The 19544-nt window shown below is 36.9% G+C and overlaps 1 protein-coding gene across 11 annotated transcripts in view; it reads right to left on the bottom strand.

The window, feature by feature from the left end:
- The window catches only part of TDRD5 (tudor domain containing 5), a 99660-nt gene that overhangs the window by 45575 nt on the left and 34541 nt on the right, over positions 1-19544 (bottom strand). For all 11 annotated transcript variants that reach the window (XM_047447750.1, NM_001349923.1, NM_001199091.2 and 8 more), the window contains 5 exons: positions 14778-14931; positions 11069-11241; positions 9811-10031; positions 5647-5859; positions 5253-5319 (listed from right to left, as the gene is read on the bottom strand). In XM_047447750.1, coding sequence (XP_047303706.1) covers positions 5253-5319; positions 5647-5859; positions 9811-10031; positions 11069-11241; positions 14778-14931 — 828 coding nt within the window. The remainder of the gene's footprint in view (positions 1-5252; positions 5320-5646; positions 5860-9810; positions 10032-11068; positions 11242-14777; positions 14932-19544) is intronic.

The following is a 19544-nucleotide window of genomic DNA, read 5'->3' as shown; positions in this document are numbered from 1 at the left end:
AGAATAATCATAGACAAAAGCCACACTTCTTTCAATAATTACAGAAAAGCAATACAGAAAAATCAGAACGAATAAGAGTTTCACACAATAAAGTTGACCTTATGGACATATATAAAATATTACACACAAGAACTGCAGAATATACACTTTTTAAGAAGACACCACCATTTACAAAAAGTGACACTATACTGGACCATCTATCAGCCTCTGCATATTTAAAGGGCTGACGGATACTATCTAGAGGATGATCTCTGACCACAGTGTATTTAAACTAGAAATCAACTACAAAAGGACAAATTAGGAAAATGTTTATGGCCGGGCGCGGTGGCTCACGCCTGTAATCCCAGCACTTTGGGAGGCCGAGGCGGGCGGATCACGAGGTCAGGAGATCGAGACCATCCCGGCTAAAACGGTGAAACCCCGTCTCTACTAAAAATACAAAAAATTAGCCGGGCGTAGTGGCGGGCGCCTGTAGTCCCAGCTACTTGGGAGGCTGAGGCAGGAGAATGGCGTGAACCCGGGAGGCGGAGCTTGCAGTGAGCCGAGATCCCGCCACTGCACTCCAGCCTGGGCGACAGAGCGAGACTCCGTCTCAAAAAAAAAAAAAAAAAAAAAAAAAAAGAAAAATGTTTATAAACTGAGAAACTTCTAAATAATCCATGAATCAAACAAGAAAGCAAAATATAAATTACAAAATATTTTTTAACTGAACAATAATAAAACTACTACACAGTTAAACTTATGAGATCCACCTAAAGGTTAGAAATAACCTAAGCTTGCACATCAAGAAGTTAGGGAAAGAACAGCAAAATAAACCCAAAGAAAGTAGAATTAAGGAAATAGTAAAAATAAGACAGAAATAAACAAAATAGAAAAAAAATGTTTATAATAGAAACAAGAAAGCCAAACTTGGTTCTTTGAAAAAACTATTCAAAATGGCAAATACCTGTCTCTTTAGATCCTTAAAAAAGATACAAATACATATTTGGAATGTAAAAGGACATATCACTACAGATGTCAACATCAAAAGGACAAAAAAAATTATGGGCAATTTACGCCAAAAACAAAATTTTAAATGACATCAAAAATGTCAAGAAGGAATAAAAAGTGAAGATTCTACTATAAATACTACATTTTAATTTTTTGTTGGGGTGGTAAAAGTTGAAACAAAATATTAAGATTAAAAAATTAGTCAAAATTTACAAAATGAGTATTACATATAAACAAGTATATATTAGGTTAAAAATTAAACTTTTGAATAATTTCATGATTTGTAGCCTTTATACTCCTGTAGTTATTACAGCTTAAACTGCACTAAGACTTTGGGATAAATATATATTACATCAACATATGCTATAAACTCCAACATACAGTATTACCAATTTAGTTTTGAAAGTTCTATGTCTTTTAAAGGAATTCAGAGAATAAAATTAAAAATAATAGTCTTTCATATTTGCCCACATATTAACCATTTTCCATAATCATCATTCTTTCCTGTAGATCTGCATTACCATTTGGTTTCACTTCAGAACTGGAAGAACTTCCTTCAGTATTTGTTGTTCAAGATTGCCAGTGACAAGCTCAGTTTTTACATTTTGAAAATGTCTCCGTTTCTTCATTTTGATAGATATTTTCACTAGATATAGAATTCCAGCTTGACTTCTTTTTCTCTTTCAGACTTCAATGTTGTTCCTTTCAATGGGCAGTTAGTTATTATTTATATTATTGTTTCCTGTATTTTCCCCCTTCTTGCTGCTTTCAGGATTTTCTCCTTTTGCTTTAGATTTCAGCAGTTTGATTATCATGTGCCTAGGTATGGTTTTCTTTGTATTTATTCTGCTTGGAGTTTGTTGATATTCTTGACTCTGAATATTGACCTCTTTCACCACACTGTGGAAATTTTTGGCCTTCCTTTTTTCCATCCTATTCTCTCTCTCAACTCTCTTTCTGGGACTCCAATTACATACCTGTTGGGGTACCCGATATTGAGCCATAGACTTCCTTAAGTCTCTGTCCATTTTCACTTTAATTATTTTTTATGCTCTTCTTCACATTGGATAATTCTTTTGATCTGTTTTTAAAGTTCATAGACTCCTCCACTGTCTCCAAATCTGCTATTAAGCCTATGCTGAAACTTTTCATTTATTTCACTTTACGACTCTAGAATTTCCATTTATTTTAAATAGTTTCTTTCTGCAGAAATTCCTTCTCTGTTCCTTATGATGAGTAAATCTCTCAGTCCTTGAACATATTCACAATAGCTGCTTTAAAGTCTTTGTCTGCTAACTCCAATGTCTGGGACATCTCAATGTCAGTTTCTACCAACTACGTTTTTCCTTGAGTATATGTCACATTTTCCTGTTTTTTTTTCTCCCATGTCTAGTGATTTTTAGTTGAATAGTAAACATTATCAATGTTTTAGAGCTTCTGGATTCTGTTATGCTCTTCTCAAGAGTGATTTGTTTTAACTGGCAGTTAAAACTGTCTGGATCCAAACTCTAAACTGTCTCTTCTGCAGTCTGTAGCAACAGAAATCTCTGTTCAGTTACCTCAAATGCCAACTGTTGATTTTTTCACTAGGGCTACTGAGTTCCCCAACACTTAAGAAAGTTCAGTAGTCACCCAAGGATTTGGGCAGATCATATATAATGATTTGGGAACTCATCCATTCTGTGGTTCCCTACCTTCAAGTATTTCCACCCTAACTTCTAGCTGTTCTGCCATTTCCAAACAATGTCTTATAATTCTTTAGGACAGCAAGACTGCAGATTCTCAGAAAAGAAGCTTGAAAAGTCCCATTGCCATTTAACTTTTGCTTTTTTGCCTGCTTCTGATTTTGCTAATGGGCATAATAGTCTGTTGCTATTATGCTATTACCAAATGTGTTATTTTTGCAATCAGAAAAAAAGACACAGAAATAAAGTGAGAGATTCATTTAGTTAAAAACCTAGTTATTGAGCATTTACCAGGCACAAAGCCATTACTCTGGGCACTGGAGATTCAGTGGTGAACAAGATAATTTCCCTGATTTCAGGGGCTCACACTGTCATGCACAAACAAACAAGACAATATCAGATAGTGATAAAGCATTATGAAGATAAAACAAGGTGACAATGAATGACTGAAGGGTGCATTTTTAATTGTCAGGTCAAAGAAGTCCTTTTTGAGGAAATAACATTTGGACTTAAATTTGAATGACAAGAAGGACAATCGTGAGATTACTGTGAATAAGCTATTCCAGTTATTAGAATGTGCAAAAGCCCTAAGGCCAGAAGTAGTTTAGAAAGGAAGAAAGGAGGGCTGGGCATGGTGGCTCATACCTGTAATCCCAGCACTTTGGGAGGCCGAGGTGGGCGGATCACTTGAGGCCAAGAGATAGAGACCAGCCTGGCCAACATGGTGAAACCCCACCTCTACAAAAATAAAAAAATTAGCCGGGCATGGTGGCACATGCCTATAATCCCAGCTACTCAGGAGGCTGAGGCAGGAGAATTGCTTGAACCAGGGAGGTGGAGGTTGGAGTGAGCCGAGATTGCACCACTGCACTCCAGCCTGGGCAATGAAGGAAGACTCCGTCTCCAAAAAAAAAAAGAAAAGAAAAAAAGAAAGTAAGAAGGGAAAAGAAAAAGAAGAGAACAAAAAATGGAAGCTATCTGGCTGATATGAAAGTAATGAACACTGGCTACAACTGAGTCACAAATTTAGTCCTGTGCTTCCTGATGGCAAAATAGTAAAAAGAAACTTATCGGAAATAAAATGCCCCCAAGAAAACAACCTTGAATACAGGCTTCCACCAAAAAACATATTTTGCGTACATTGTTTCTAACAGTCAAAAATCAGAATCAGTTTGAATGTCAAACAATAAAGAAACGGTTAAGCAGGCGATGATGCACATTTACCTAACAGATTACACTATGAATCCATTAAAATTGAGAACTTAATAACATATAAAAGTACTTATGCTATAATGCTAAGCAAAAGAGCAGAATACAAAATATTACGATTACTATTTTAAGTAATGCTGAAAACCACACCAAAAAACCCTCGCTCCCAACATCCAATAAAATAAACTGGAAGAAACATACACCAAATTTCTAAACTGTGTATGTTTGAGTGGTGGAATTATAGGTAATTTTTTTTCTTTTTCTTTCTTCTTTTTTTTTTCTGAGACGGAGTTTCGCTCTTTGTTGCCCTGGCTGGAGTGCAGCGGCGCAATCTCAGCTCACTGCAACCTCCGCCTCCCGGGTTCAAGCAATTATCCTGTCTCAGCCTCCTGAGTAGCTAAGATTACAGGCGCCCACCACCACGCCTGGCTATTTTTTGTATTTTTAGTAGATATGGGGTTTCACCATGTTGGCCAGGCTGGTCTTGAATTCCTGACCTCAGGTGATCCGCCCGCCTTGGCTTCCCAAAGTGCTGGGATTACAGGCGTTAGTTTTTCTTTCTTCTTTACAAAATTTTTCAGATAAAAAATATTTTTAAAATAATCCATTTATATGTGAGCAACTGATAAGTTATTTAGATTAAGCAGACAAATATGGCATAATAAATGTGTAGGTATGAGCTAGTAAGAGTTCTGAAGGAAAAATAAAAAGTTAGGTACATAAAATAATTATAATTATATAAATGCACCTACATACATGAAAATGCCTCCTGCTCCATTCCACCTCAAAGCTCTGCCACAATGTTGCTAGAGAATTATCTTGAAAACATGTTATCTGTCAGTGGCAGTTTCCTATTTACATCCTTTAATTGCTCCCCAGCCTCTAAAGGACGACAATGTTCAGTCTTCTAAACGTGGGTCTTCACATTAGGCTCCTATTTCTTTGACATTTTCTACCATGCACCCGCTGTAGCTCATCCTATATTCTGTAGCCAAACAGAACTACTTAAAATTTCTCCCCTTTGAGATGTTTCATGCTACCCTCCCTTTGCTTGGAATGCCTTTCTTTTTTCATCATCTTCCTAATCTTCCTTCAAAGTGCCACTCAAATGCCTCCCTGATTACCCTGGGCAGAAACAAGCAATCTTCCTTTTGCACCTCTACCATTCATTCTTGAAACCTCTCCTATAGCAAATTTTATATGGCATAACAATTTTTGTCTACATGTCTATTTTCCATACTCTATACACTGACTTCTTTGAAGGCTGGTTCTACGTTTTATCTTCATATCCTGAGCATGTGAAACTGTTATTGGCACATAATAGGCACTCAAGTGTTTGCTGATTAAATGGGAGACAAGCAAACATACCTCTACTGGTCTCACCCAAGCCAAAGAACAAGGGATAGCCTGAGCTGGAAGCTTTGTGTAGCAGCACCTGCAATAGATAATCAAATATGTAAGTTCAATCTTCCTGCTATATATAAATGCACCTCTTAGCATGACCCAAAAAATCACTTTCTTAATAAGAGACTAAAACGTAATCTCATCGTCCATTCAAAATTCAGTGTCATGTAAAAGATAACACAAGAGTTACAATCCATCTGTGAAATGAAATGACCCAGTTGTCAAATATGCACTAAGAAGAAGGAAGGAAGGATTGGAGGGAGGAAGGCAAGAGAAAAGAGAGATCCCAACCCCACAGAGCTTCAACACTGTGATTCAAAATTTAATTCATCCATTGTTCTAATTCAATTCAACTCACTTGAGGAACCTCAGGGAGGACTTCTGAACAATTCCAATATTTCCAAAGTCTGGGTAGAACACTTCAACTTCCTGTTTCTCAAGGACTCGATGGATAATGACCCGATACCACCACTTATCCTCAGAAATCCTTACACAACAGAGATGTCCCGGCTGAATAAAACATTCTGGCATGACATATCGATCAGAAACCAGCTGATTAGAATAACAGCGCCTGTGGAATTCCATAATACAGAGAAATCCATAGGGGAAGAAAAAATTAAAGATAATTTTTATCAATGTATCAAGCCAGAAAGTCTTGGCAAAAAGCAAAGAAAAGAAAATTGACTTTGTCAAATTGTTAATGCTCATTAATACCAATTAATTGTTTTCTCTTATCTGAATCCCATCTCTTCATCAACAAACTTCTTCAAAGAGAAACACACACTCATTTTCTGATCTCACATTCTCTGCTGGATAGAATGTACCCCATCTTCATTCCCCAGTACTGCCTAGGATAAATTAGTTTTAAGACATCAGTGACCTGATAGCTCCCAAATCCAGCAGCCTCTCTCCTCAGCCTTCAATACACATTATCTTGCTGCAGCGTTACCCTATCCTGTTTCAAACCCTTTCCTAGTTTCTCAAACACAATTCTCTACTTCTTTGTCAATAGTTATTTTTTTTATTGGCTCTGTATTGCCTTAAATGTTGAGATTCACTTATCTTTAGGAAGTATAACATAATATAAGCTTAGGAACCAATAACCTGGGTCCAAATCCTGACTCCATCATTTACCAGCTCTGTGACAATCTTTCTGCGCTTCAGTTTCCTTGTTTAGGATGGGGATGATAAAAATAAAACATTTATTAAAACATCTGAAAGTTTAGGACAGTGTACACATATACTAAGCACTCAAATATTAGCTATTGTTCTTGCTATATACTGTCTCACCCATTTTCATGTCTTATACCACACTACTGATCAATTGTTAATTCTCAATCTATCTCTAGAAGACCCTGCATCCTTTCTGCACTTCAAAACTCGAATATTTCCAACTATATGGAAGACATGCCAGTTGTTCCTCAATGCCCATTCTCCTCTTTCCCTTTTCTCTAGCAACAGAGTCCCCCAAATTTTAACTGGGTAAATGGTCATTCAGGTTTCCCAAGCTCTCCTGCATCTAGGTGTGGCTATGTGAATACTAAATTTTGGCCAGTGGGATACAAGAAAAAGTGTACATAGTTAAAATGAATATATTTAATGTGTATTTTACCCACAGTTTTAAGAGTGAAAATTCTGGGTTGTGTCTTTCAATAGAACAGGTATATCTCCCATCCCCCACTTCTTTTTCCCCTTCCCAGTAGCTGGCAGGATGACTGGGTGGTGGTAGTGGTCAGCCACACCCAAGACCACGTGAACAGGGACAACACACTATTCTGGAGCAGCAAGATTCTATAACTGTGTCCCCCTCCCACCACGGAACTATCATATCAGAATGTATTGTGTATATTTGGACTATTCTGGGAAGAAGAAATAAACTTTTATCTTCTTTAAGCTACTATGATAAAGTTATATCTAACAGTGGCTAAACCTAATCCTAACTCATACCATCTAGTCAACATTGCCAGTGACTCTCATGGTCAACTTAGAGACACTACAGGTGAACTTCTACTAATAAGTTTTCACCCCAGCTCAAACCTGCCCAGTCTCTAAAGCAAACAGTTTTCATCATCTCCTTCTCTTTCTTATTCTTCTCAACACCCTTCTTGTCACCTGGCAATTTTCATTTTCCCAATTTATCTCTTCCTTTCTAGTCTCACTCTCATCAAGACTAGTCCACTAATAGATCTTCATCCCTTCACTCCAATGGCTTTCTTAAAACCATCAGTGCTTCCCCAGAATAAGAGAAAACATCTTCCCATGGTATTCAGAATCTAGCTTTTTCTTAGTCTTCCAGCATCACATCAGTCACTCTCTCCCCCTTCCTGACTCCTGCAACCTCACCTGGTGCTAACGTCACTTCCTTATTGTTGTTCCCAGCGCACGCCACTTACTCCTTTGTTAATGTTGGCCTTGGTTCCAGTGACTGGACCTGATTATACCCACTCATAACCTCCTTGACTCGCAAATTCTTGTCTTTGAGGCCTAGCTCAATTATCTCTTTTGTGAAGCTTTCCTCAACCTTGCCCAGGCAGAACGACTCCCTTTTATAATATCCCATGTATCTCCTATCTTCTTAAGCTAATCACAGTATTCGCAAAGGCAAAGGACCATGTCTTACTTATCCTTGTAGCACAAGTGCCTCAACATTCTGACACGAAGCACACAGTAGTTACAGTATTTTTTTTTTTTCCCCCAGACAGGGCCTTACTCTGTTGCCCAGGCTGGAGTGCAGTAGCACAATCATGACTCACTGCAGCTTCAACCTCCTCGGGAGCTGGGACTACAGGCATGCACCATCATGCCCAGCTAATTTTTAATTCTTTTGTAGATACAGGGTCTCACTATGTTGCCCAGATGAATCTTGAACTTCTGGGCTCAAGCGATCCTCCCACCTTGGCTTCCCAAAGTGCTAAGTTTACAGGCATGAACCACACTGTACCCAGTCTATAGTATTAATAATAATAGCAGCTAACATTTGGGCTATGCTCCAAGTACTTTAATTTTTAGAACTCTGTGAAGTAGGTACTATCATTATCTCATTTTGGAGATAATACAACTAGGCCCAGAGAAGTAAAGTAACTTCAAGGTCAGAGAGCCAGTGAGTGTGCTTTTAAAACACGTACAAATGTCCCATGGGCATACTGGAATGGAATATATATTTTTACCAAGTGATTATGTGACTTACATTATGCCAGGTGTCCTGGAGTAGAAGCATACATACTATTGTCAAATTAAAAACATGGAATGTTTTTTGAGATACAAAATAAAATGAAATAAATTATTCTTCTATGACAACAATTTATAAATCAGACATTGTTGTTCATGAATAAATCTAAAGTGGTTGAAAATGTCCATATTTTACATGGTGTTTGCTAACAAAGGACAATTTTTAGTAGAGAAAAGAGATAATATAAGTTAGTAGTTCTCAAAGTATAGTCCACAAACATGATTTTTACCTGGAAGACGAACTAGCCATTTCTTTCATATCAGTTTTGCTTGAAAGAACCACTAGCAAGCTGACTTGGGTATTTGACATTTTTCAAAAATGAAGCAAGCTTGTCACTTCAAGGAAAACAACTCACAGTACATGTTGTCAATGACAAAAATCAAACTTTCGAGTAAAAGGATTTTGGAAATGTTGCATTCACCACTGTGAGCTTGACAGCTTCCCAATACTAAATACTTTTCTGAGATCAGTGATGATATTAATGTGATATTTTTATACTGCATAATGAAATGTGTCAACATTTGGAAGATCTGCATAATTCAGCAAACTAGTTATTTTCCAAATGACCAACACATGATGTTATAAAGTTGTATGATCCATTCAGGGATAGTTTGAATCCATGCTTAGAAGCAGCTTTGTGCTTGCTTTAATATTCTGCTATTGCCATCTTGAAATTAGTAATTTTTAAACAGGGAGCACTGCATTTTAATTTTGCACCAGGGCCAGCAATTACACTGCCAGTCTTAGATCCATTCAAATTGTAGAGGCAGACCAGTGGATTTTAACATAATAGACTATAAAAAGTTCAAATTCCAAATAACATTTGAGAAACTACCATTTCTCAAGTTTTAGCATACTATCAAAAAAGAATATTCACAATTTTCTGAAAAAGCTGTTAAAATACTTTTTCCCAGACTACACATTGGTATGAGGCCAGATGTCTTCAGATACTTCAACCAAAACAACATATCTCAACAGATTAAATGCAGAAGCAAATATGAAAAATCAACTTTCTTCTATTAAGCCAGATATTAAAGAGATCTACAAAAGGATAAAACAATGCCACCCTTCTAAATTTTTAAACAAAAAGTTATTTTCATAAAAATGTTACTTATATTAACACGAGAATTATTTTAATATTAAAATTTTACAGTTTTAATTTCTATACAATAAATACTGATAAAAAAAAGCTCTCTTGGGTCTTTAATTTTTAAGAGTCCTGAAACCGAAATGTTTGAGAACTGTTGATTTAAGAGACATGTGAAAAACACATTGAAAACAACAGACTCCTACCGCATTTCAATCATCATGTCTTCGAGTAACTCTGACGAATCCCTGCTATAGATCCGGATGTAGAATTGACTAGGAGAGATGATATACTCCACAAAGACCCCTATGAGGGAACTGGTGTCTAATGGTGGGAGTCTGCATAATTTCTTGTTCGGCACAGCGTCTGGCGGGATGTCATGATTTGCCATTGCCAAGTTGAGCTCTGATTTGTTTGTTTCTACTTGCTATAAGTTAGAAAAAAAAAATTAAAAATCTCTTGGTGACATTTCAAACCCCATGGCATGTTTCTCAAAGCACATTTCATGAATCACCTTTATCAGAATCACTTGGGAAATTATAAAAATACAGATTCTTGAACTCTAGCCCAGACTTACTGATTCAGAATGCCTGGGAATGGGGCCCACAATTATGCATTTAAATAAATTCCCTGGGTGATTCTTACCTATGTTAAAATATGAAAACTACTACCTTATGACATTAGGTATAGAGTTTAAAAGCGTTACACAATTGCTCTATACAAAATTGAAAATATGATACTTCAAACATCCAGGCTGAACCAAGGTGGATTCTTATCCTACTCATATCAGCAGTCAAAGGTAACTTTAGTAGGTTAAATTTCAGACTAGTCTTCCAATCAAAAGCAGGATTTCTCAAATACTCTCATTCTGAAACATACTGTTTTCCTCTAGGCCTTCCTTCTATTTTCCTCCAGAAAATACAGCAAGCTCTCCAAACAAAACTTTTTCCTTCCATGAAAGAAGCCAGGTAGAAAGGGTAGAAGGGAAAAAGAGCAAGCAATGATTCCTTAATAACAACAAAATAAGTAATGGGAGACAAGAACACAAAAAGGGTGAACTGTGTGTGGAGATGCAAGAAAAGAAAAAAAATAAAAGCACCCTATAATTGAGGATGAGTGTAGAGGCAATTTGCAGCAGCGTTGAGGCACACAGCCAAAACGAAGCCTCTCAAGTTTTCCCTCTAAAGCCCCTGTGGGTTTTCAAGACATCATGAGAGATCTGTCAACTCTCAAAACCATTTGAAAACTTTAAAATGAGCCTTGAGGAAAAGCTAGTTATATAAAAGACTGAAAACCAGAAAGAATGCTATATGACATAACTTCAATACAAAGATGATTTCTTCTAATAAATGATATATCCAGAAATAAGACTTTTCTAAAAAGAATTTTGGTTTAAAGAAACACACATTCATTTACTTTCCATAATGCTGAATCTCCAGTGCACAGTCTTTAAACCTCACTCACCAGCTGTAAAGGCTTTACCACCAGATTAGGCTTCTTGCAAATCTTCTGTTGTGGCTCTTTTTGTTTTTTTGAAGGGCAATTCCATACAGTCTCTTTGACAGCAGCAGTAGACAATGAATTTCTAGGTGGACTGGAGACACAAGCTTTGGCTTCTATTTTCTTATCTGACTGAACTAAACACAAATTTCCGACTGATGAAACAACTCCATCTCAAATGGCCAATAGAGCAGCCTATGCATATTTGTTAAAATAGCTATACAACCATTACTAAGCACCTTCAACACACCAGGTGCTAGAAAGACAATGATAAATGAGAGATACAAACCTGTCCTTGCAGACCTTTCAGTGTGGCAAAATATAAGGGAAGTTCTAGGTGGGAACAAATCTTAAATTATTTGTGCTAGGGGGAGGGAGGCTTGTGATCTGATAAGGTTTCTTTTTTTTGTTTTTTTGTTTTTTGAGATGAAGTCTTGCTCTATTGCCCAGACTGGAGTGCAGTGGTGCGATCTCGGCTCACTGCAAGTTCCGCCTCCTGGGTTCACACCATTCTCCTGCCTCAGCCTCCCGAGTAGCTGGGACTACAGGCACCCGCCACCATGCCGGGCTAATTTCTTGTATTTTTAGTAGAGACAGGGTTTCACTGTGTTAGCCAGGATGGTCTCTATCTCCTGACCTCGTGATCTGCCCGCCTCGGCCTCCCAAAGTGCTGGGATTACAGGTGTGAGCCACCGCGCCCAGCCAAGGTTTCTTAAACTTTAGTTAAAGACTTAATTTTTTTCAGCATCTTGATTTCAATTTACTTCTTGTTCAAATTAAACAGGGAATATTCTTTGTTGCTTAACGTAGACTGTATGTAACTACTTAATATTCCATAATACGATTCCTTAATTCTTAGGAAATTTTCAAGTTAATCATGTATTTTGTTCAAATTTACATGTGTATGATAACTACAAGAGGTTGGCACATTAAAACAGACTCCAGGCTGGGTTCAGTGGCTCACACCTGTAATCCCAGCACTTTGGGAGGCCGAGGCGGGTGGATCACAAGGTCAGGAGTTCAAGACCAGCCTGGCCAATATGATGAAACCCCATCTCTACTAAAAATACAAAAATTAGCCAGGCATGGTGGCAGGCGCCTGTAGTCCCAGCTACTTGGGAGGCCGAGGCAGGAGAATCACTTGAACCTGGGAGGCGGAGGTTGCAGTGAGCCAAGATCACACCATTGCACTCCAGCCTGGGTGACAGAGCGAGACTCCATCTCAAAAAAAAAAAAGATTCCAGACAGACCTACAAGCATGGTGGCTCCTAAAAAATGAAGTCATAAGTACACAAAGATGTAGGTACAAGAATATTTGTCACTGTATTTTTTTGTGATGGTGAAAAAATGGGAACAATCCTAATGTCCATCAGTAGGAGACTGGTTAAGTACATTATTATTATATATAACTTCAAATGATGAAATGAGCTTGTTTGTACTAATATGAAAAAACACCCATAGTATATGAAGTGTAAGAAATGAGGATTTGCATAATACAGATGTCCACAGTGGTTTGACTTTCTTATGGTATGAAAGTGATACACATTCATTAGAAACCATACTTCAAGTACCCATACAACACTGTTTTTCACTTTCAGTATAGTATTCAATAAATTGCAGGTGATGTTCAACACTTTAGTATAAAATAGGCTTTGTATTAGATGATTTTGCCCAACTGTAGGCTAATGTAAGTGTTCTGAGCATGTCTAAGGTAGGCTAGGCCAAGGTATGATGTTCAGTAGGCTAGGTATATTAAATGTATTGTCTACTTATGATGGGTTTATTGGGATAGAACCCCATCATAAGTTGAGGAAAATTTGTATTTATATACTACTGTTTTGTGTAGGAAAAATTATACAGGTGGTAATTAGCTATACCATATAGAAGAGGTCCAAAAATAAACACACTAAAACTATTAATGCTAGTTACCTCTGTATTGTTGGAATTGTTTAAACAAGCATGTGCAGCTTTTGTGATTAAAAAAAAAGATCTATCTATGTCTTACATATTCATTGGAAAAAGTCTTGGAGGCTATATAAACATTCTAACAGTATTATTTTGGGGGGGTGGATAAAATAATAGAAAATGTTCTCTCTCTACTCATCTGTGCTGTTTATATATATTCAGAATGAACATGAGTTACTTTAATAATCAGAAAAATCAATAAAGGTAGTTACATTTTGAAAAAAAAAAAACAAAACCTGTCCATCATAACCACTCATTCAAGCTTATAAAAATACAAGTACCATACTGCAATCTAGTTTTGCGAGGTGTTGCCATTGGAGAAACTAGGTAAAAGGTACATGGTATCATAGTGTATTATTTCTTACAACTCCATGTGAATCTAAAATTATCTTAATAAAAACTTCAAAAGAAAAAGAAGGTCACGGCCGGGAGTGGTGTCTCACGCCTGTAATCCCAGCACTTTGGGAGGCTGAGGCGGGTGGATCACGAGGTCAGGAGATTGAGACCATCCTGGGTAACATGGTGAAACCCCATCTCTACTAAAAATACAAAAAATTAGCTGGGCGTGGTGGCAGGTGCCTGTAATCCCAGCTACTCAGGAGGCTGAGGCAGGAGAATGGCATGAACCCGCGAGGCGGAGGTTGCAGTGAGCCAAGATCACGCCACTGCACTCCAGCCTGGGGGACAGCGTAAGAATCTATCTCAAAAAAAAAAAAGAAAAGAAAAAGAAGGTCCCTCACCACCACCCACCCCACAAAAAAAAAAAAAAAAAAAAAATCAAGTGCCCTAAATGCAATGTGGTATTATCCTGGAGTGGATACACAAACAGAAAAAAGACATTCTTGGAAAAACTGGTAAAATCAGAATAAAGCCTGGAGTTTAGTTACTAGCAATGTACTAATGTTAATTTCTTAGTTTTGATAAATGTATCATGGTAAATAAGGCATTAATATTGGAAGAAACTGGGTGAAAGGTTTTTGGGAACTCTGTACTACCTTTATGATTTTTCTGTAACACTAACATTATCCTAAAATTAAAAGTTTATTTTAAAAAATACAAGTGCTGGGTCCCAACGCACACCCATTTATTCTGCATCTCCATATATTTCTAAAAAGCTTTTGATGCACGGCCTGAGTTAAGAACCACTGCACTATCAGACCACCATTTTAGGAACTTTATTTCCTTCAGAATTATCAAAAATCTAGACAATGAAGAAAGCAAGAAAAATTTTTATTTTGAGACAGAGTCTCGCTCTGTCACCCAGGCTGGAGTGCAGTGGCTTGATCTCGGCTCCCGGCAAGCTCCGCCTCCCGGGTTCATGCCATTCTCCTGCCTCAGCCTCCTGAGTAGCTGGGACTACAGGCGCCCACCACCACGCCTGGCTAGTTTTTTTGTATTTTTAGTAGAGACGGGGTTTCACTGTGTTAGCCAGGATGGTCTCAATCGCCTGACCTCGTGATCCGCCCACCTCGGCCTCCCAAAGTGCTGGGATTATAGGCATGAGCCACTGCACCCGGCCCAAGAAAGCAAAATTTTAAAATTCAGATTATTTTTATTAACAATACAGATTAACCTTATTACAACAAATACCACCAGAAAGGAGGTCATTTTATAAAACATTTCATGGCTAGGCATTATTTCATGTTTTCTCTTTGTCCTCATAAGGACAATAAAAATGAGGTTTGCATCATACTGTGGTTCCACTCACCAGGTGGTAGAGGCTTCTTATCCGCATCAAACACTAGTAAGTCTTGGTGTCCTTTCCTGAACTCAACATGGAGAATGTCACTAAGAGCTCCAACAAGTTCTGTCACATTTAAGAAGCCTAATTTTTTTGGTGATAGTTGCTCTTTAAAAATTACCTGTCACAAGAAAATAGAAATTACATGAAACAGCATTAGATAACAGATATATAACATATATAGTTGTCCTTGGACAACCAAACTAAATCTTAAAGGGTCAATGAACTCAAGTATTACAGAGTAAAGGCTCACTTCCATACCAGCATAAAACAAACCAAGTGACCAATAATCCCTTACTATAAAACTTCTGGGTCAATGTCAAGTTCCTTTTAAAGCATGTGGTAAACTAAAGTAAAAGTTAGGGTGGGCACTTTTCACTTCTCATTTTTAACAATGTCTGAATATAAAGCAAAAGTGTTTAAAAAAACAAGAGGAGAATGCACAAATTACAACAGTCGTAATAAAACTATTGGTATTTCTCTATTTTCCAATAAAGATAATATTCGATATCACTTCCGACATGTACAGAAATTGTTCAAAAATATTTCCTTAAATTTTGTTTATTATTTCACCTTAGAAGTTGGAATAAAGGCCAGGCACGGTGGCTCACGCCTGTAATCCCAGCACTTTGGGAGGCCGAGGCAGGTGGATCACGACATCAGGAGATCGAAACCATCCTGGCTAACACGGTGAAACCCCATCTCTACTAACAATACAAAAAATTAGCCAGGCGTGGTGATGGGCACCTGTAGTCCCAGCTACTCGTGAGGCTGAGGCCGGAGAATGGCATGAACCCGGAGAATGGCATGAACCCAGGAGGTGGAGCTTGCAGTGAGCCAAGATCGCACCACTGCATTCCAGCCTGGGTGACAGAGCAAGACTCCGTCTCAAAAAAAAAAAAAAAAAGTTGGAATAAATGAGCAGCTATCTATCGGTGTATTTCCCATAGCATACAGTTTGATTTTCTTGCCTTAGAAAAGAAGAAAAGTCATACCAAATGAAGACAGAAGACAATATATATGGGATAGACACATAAAATACATTCCTTAAACAGAAAACATTTCATATGTCTTAAAAGGACCGTCTATCATGTTATTTATTCCATAGTCAAAAGCATCACCAACATTGTTTTAGTTTCACTCATTTATATTAACTGTATCTCACATAAATTCTTAAAACATTGAAAAAAAACTACTCCAAAGGGTTAAAAGTGAAATGTTCTCCCAAAGCTGCCTTCAGTCTTCATATTTTGCATCTATTGTAGGTATTATTCTAAGACAGACAATAAATATGTTGCATTTATTGTATGTATTATCCTAAGATGATAAATTTGCTTATTTCTGAGCCTAAAAAACAAAACCTGCTACATCTAAAGAGACTTTTTTGTTGTTGAGTGACTTCTATCTTCATTCTTTGCATGCATTTTATACTGAAAAACTCAATTAGTGTATTTTTCCCTTCTTAATCTATCGTGCAAATTATCTTTTTAATACTAATGTTAATGCTTTCAGTGGAAGACCTTCTAATATGTATTCTCATCTTGGCTCTTCAGGTAGTCTCCCATTTGAATTTTAATACATTATTCTCAATCCTTTTGGTTTTTAAAGTGAATAAGCTTCAGTTTCCTCAATTTATGTTGTGAATTTATTTTTGAGTTTTATATTGGGTTGTTATCTGCTAAATTGGTCATGAAAATGTAAGCTGCCATCTTCCAGCTTTCTCCTCCGCACCAAGAGAAACAAGCAGATGAGAAATAGTGCTCATCTGGATTTCTCAATCACTTTGACTTGACAGCTCTTATTCAGAAATGACATTTTCCTTTAGAATTTATCTGTATTTTGGTAAACTGTGATGATGCTGAGTGATCTGATTATTAAAAGGCAGGATGTGAGTTTAATCAGGAACTATTTTAAAAATAAACACTTCAGTTAAATTGGCAAAAACAACAACAACAACAACAACAACAAATTCCTCAGTCACCTAGCAATCACTTCCCTGGAAGTAACCATTATTGCCAGTTCCTTGTTAAAATGTTCCAGAAATTATCAAAACTCAAATATGATTCAACATAATAGATTACATATACTAGGTACATCTTGCTTTTTTCAATTATTATCTCAGTACACAAAACACAGTTGAGTTTTGCTAGCTGATCCTGAGACTCAGTTTCTTTTAAAAGGTTAGTCAATTTACTAATATGTCAGATATATTTTATCCTAATTCCTTTGTTATGCTTTCTGCTTTATTGGCTCCCAACTATGAACAATGAAGAAACTGATGGGCTGGGAAAAGTGGCTCATGTCTGTTATCCCAGCACTTTGGGAGGCTGAGGCAGGAGGGACTGCTTGAGGCCAGGAGTTAGAGACCAGCCTGGGCAATATAATGAGACTCTGCCTCTACAACTTAAAAAAAAAAAAAAACTTAGCTGGACATGGTAGCATGTGCCTGTAATCCCAGCTACTTGGGAGGCTGAGGCTGCAGTGAGCTATGATTGTACCACTGCACTCCAGCTTGGGGAACAGCAAGACCCCGTCTTAAAAAAAAAAAAAAAAAAAAAAAAAAGAAAAGAAAAGAAAAGAAATAAATAAATTGATATATTTCTACTCCCACCCTCCTTACTTTCCTTCCACCTTCAACGAAATTTTAATTATCCTTTTCTTAGAGTTTAGATTTATGCCTTAAAATATGTGTATATATCCTGTTTACATGATTTTGTTTTCTCAAAGTCTGACAATCTTGCAGTACAAACACTTTATTTCCTGCAAATTAGCATAATGAATATCCCCACAGGCTTGATCAGATTTATGTTTGATCTCTTTGACAATACTATAAGTTATGCTATGTTCTAAAGAGGGGCACGTAATATCTGGTTGTCTCTTTTTTGGTGTTGTTAAGAGCCATTATTAGTCAATTCCTAGATCCATTACTTTGAGGGTTTTAACAGCAGCATTCTGTCAATTCCTTTTCATTATTTAGTTGGAACACTCTATAGATGTATGCTTTCCCTCCTGCTCTTTGCTTATCCAGCTGTATCAATTCATTTAGGAATGCCAAGATAAGTGATTGGCTCTCTTTATTTACCATTTTTAAAGAAAGTGAACTAGTTCCATCATCCTCTATGTTGAGTCATCAGTTTTTTTAGTATCGTATAAACTCACAGAATTAAATATATTTGATAGGCTTCAAAATATTGCAATTATTATCCTTATTGTAGCCTGAAATAATTCTTCAAGTGAATTCCTAAGCTCTAATGTGAACCTAGTTTTTAATAGCTTCCTTGCTGGTCTGGTACGACAAGATGTTCCAAACTCAATTTATATAACTAGGATATCCTTGTATACACAATTTGAATTATCTAATTATTCATTTGCTTTACATCAAATTATACAACAATGGTCTCAGAATACTACCACCAATATAATCAAAACAAAATAATTTTGCATATGTTCACCCTTTCTTCTTCCACTATTTTGTGTAACTGTACTTTGTCTACATTAGCAGAGTACATTGCCACGAAACACTATATTCTCTCCCCCCAACCCTCATTTGATCTTAGTTGTATAAATGGTATTCACTTTCAGTCCTTTTATCAATGTCTCTCTAGTGTGATTTTGGTTTTCTGATGTTCATTCTCCAGTAGATTCCTCAGGAAGGGCTCATGGGAACAAGAGTTCTTGAATTCTTGCATGGTGGTAATAGCTTGTCTGGCTCTCTGCAATTGAAAGTCAGTTTTGCTAGCTAAAGAATCTTTGGCTCATGTTTTGAGTATATAAGTCACTCCCTTTTCATCTAGCTTAAAACATTGCTGTGAAAATGTCTAATAATTTAACTTTTGTTTCCTTTATAAGTCACTTGCTGTTTTTCTTTAAATGCCCAGAAAAATTTTTTTCTTTTAAGTCCAGAAATTTGATATTGGTCATTCTGAGTTGATATTGTCAGATATGCAGTGTGCTCTTCAAAACACATAGCCTCAAATCTTCCATTTCAGTAAGGTTTACTTGAATTCTAGTTTTCAGGCTTCATTCTGTTTCCTTCTTTGGCTTTATTATTCATGTTGGCTCTTCTTTGCCTGTTTAATACCTGTCATTTTCTCTTGAATCATCTTTATCTTTCCTTTTTTTCCTAAGATTTTCTTATGTAAAATTTCAAACACAGAAAAAGTTGAAAGAATTGGATACTGAACTCTACCACTATAGAGTTGCTATGTCATCTGTGTATCCAACCATCTACCAACCCATCTTATCTTTTATATACATTTCAAAGTGACCTGTACACATCAGTAGCCTTTACCCCAAAATAGGCCAGCACGTACAGCATTAACTAGAAATCAGTATCTGTTCACTTTTAGGTAAAATTTACACGCAGTGAAATGCACACAACTTAAGTTTACCAGTCAGTTAGCCCTGATAAATGCAGAACTGTGTAACCCAAACCCCTACTCAAGATACAGAACACTTCCATTACCTCAGCAAGTTCTCCCTTTCCCAGTCACCCCTAGAGACAAACTTTTTTTCCACCATAGATTATCTTTGGCTATTGTATTATTTAATATAAAAGACATTCTACAGTATGCTGCTGTATGAGACTTACTTCCACAGCAACTATTTTTCAGATTCATCCACACTGGTTCATGTATCAGCTGTTTACTTCTTTTTTTTCTTTTTATTATTATTATTATACTTTAAGTTTTAGGGTACATGTGCACATTGTGCAGGTTAGTTACATATGTATAC

The sequence above is a fragment of the Homo sapiens genome, chromosome 1, assembly GCF_000001405.40.
Source record: "Homo sapiens chromosome 1, GRCh38.p14 Primary Assembly".
Taxonomy (NCBI): domain Eukaryota; kingdom Metazoa; phylum Chordata; class Mammalia; order Primates; family Hominidae; genus Homo; species Homo sapiens.
Note: the sequence above shows the minus strand (reverse complement) of the source record. Positions and strands in the feature narration are given on the sequence as shown.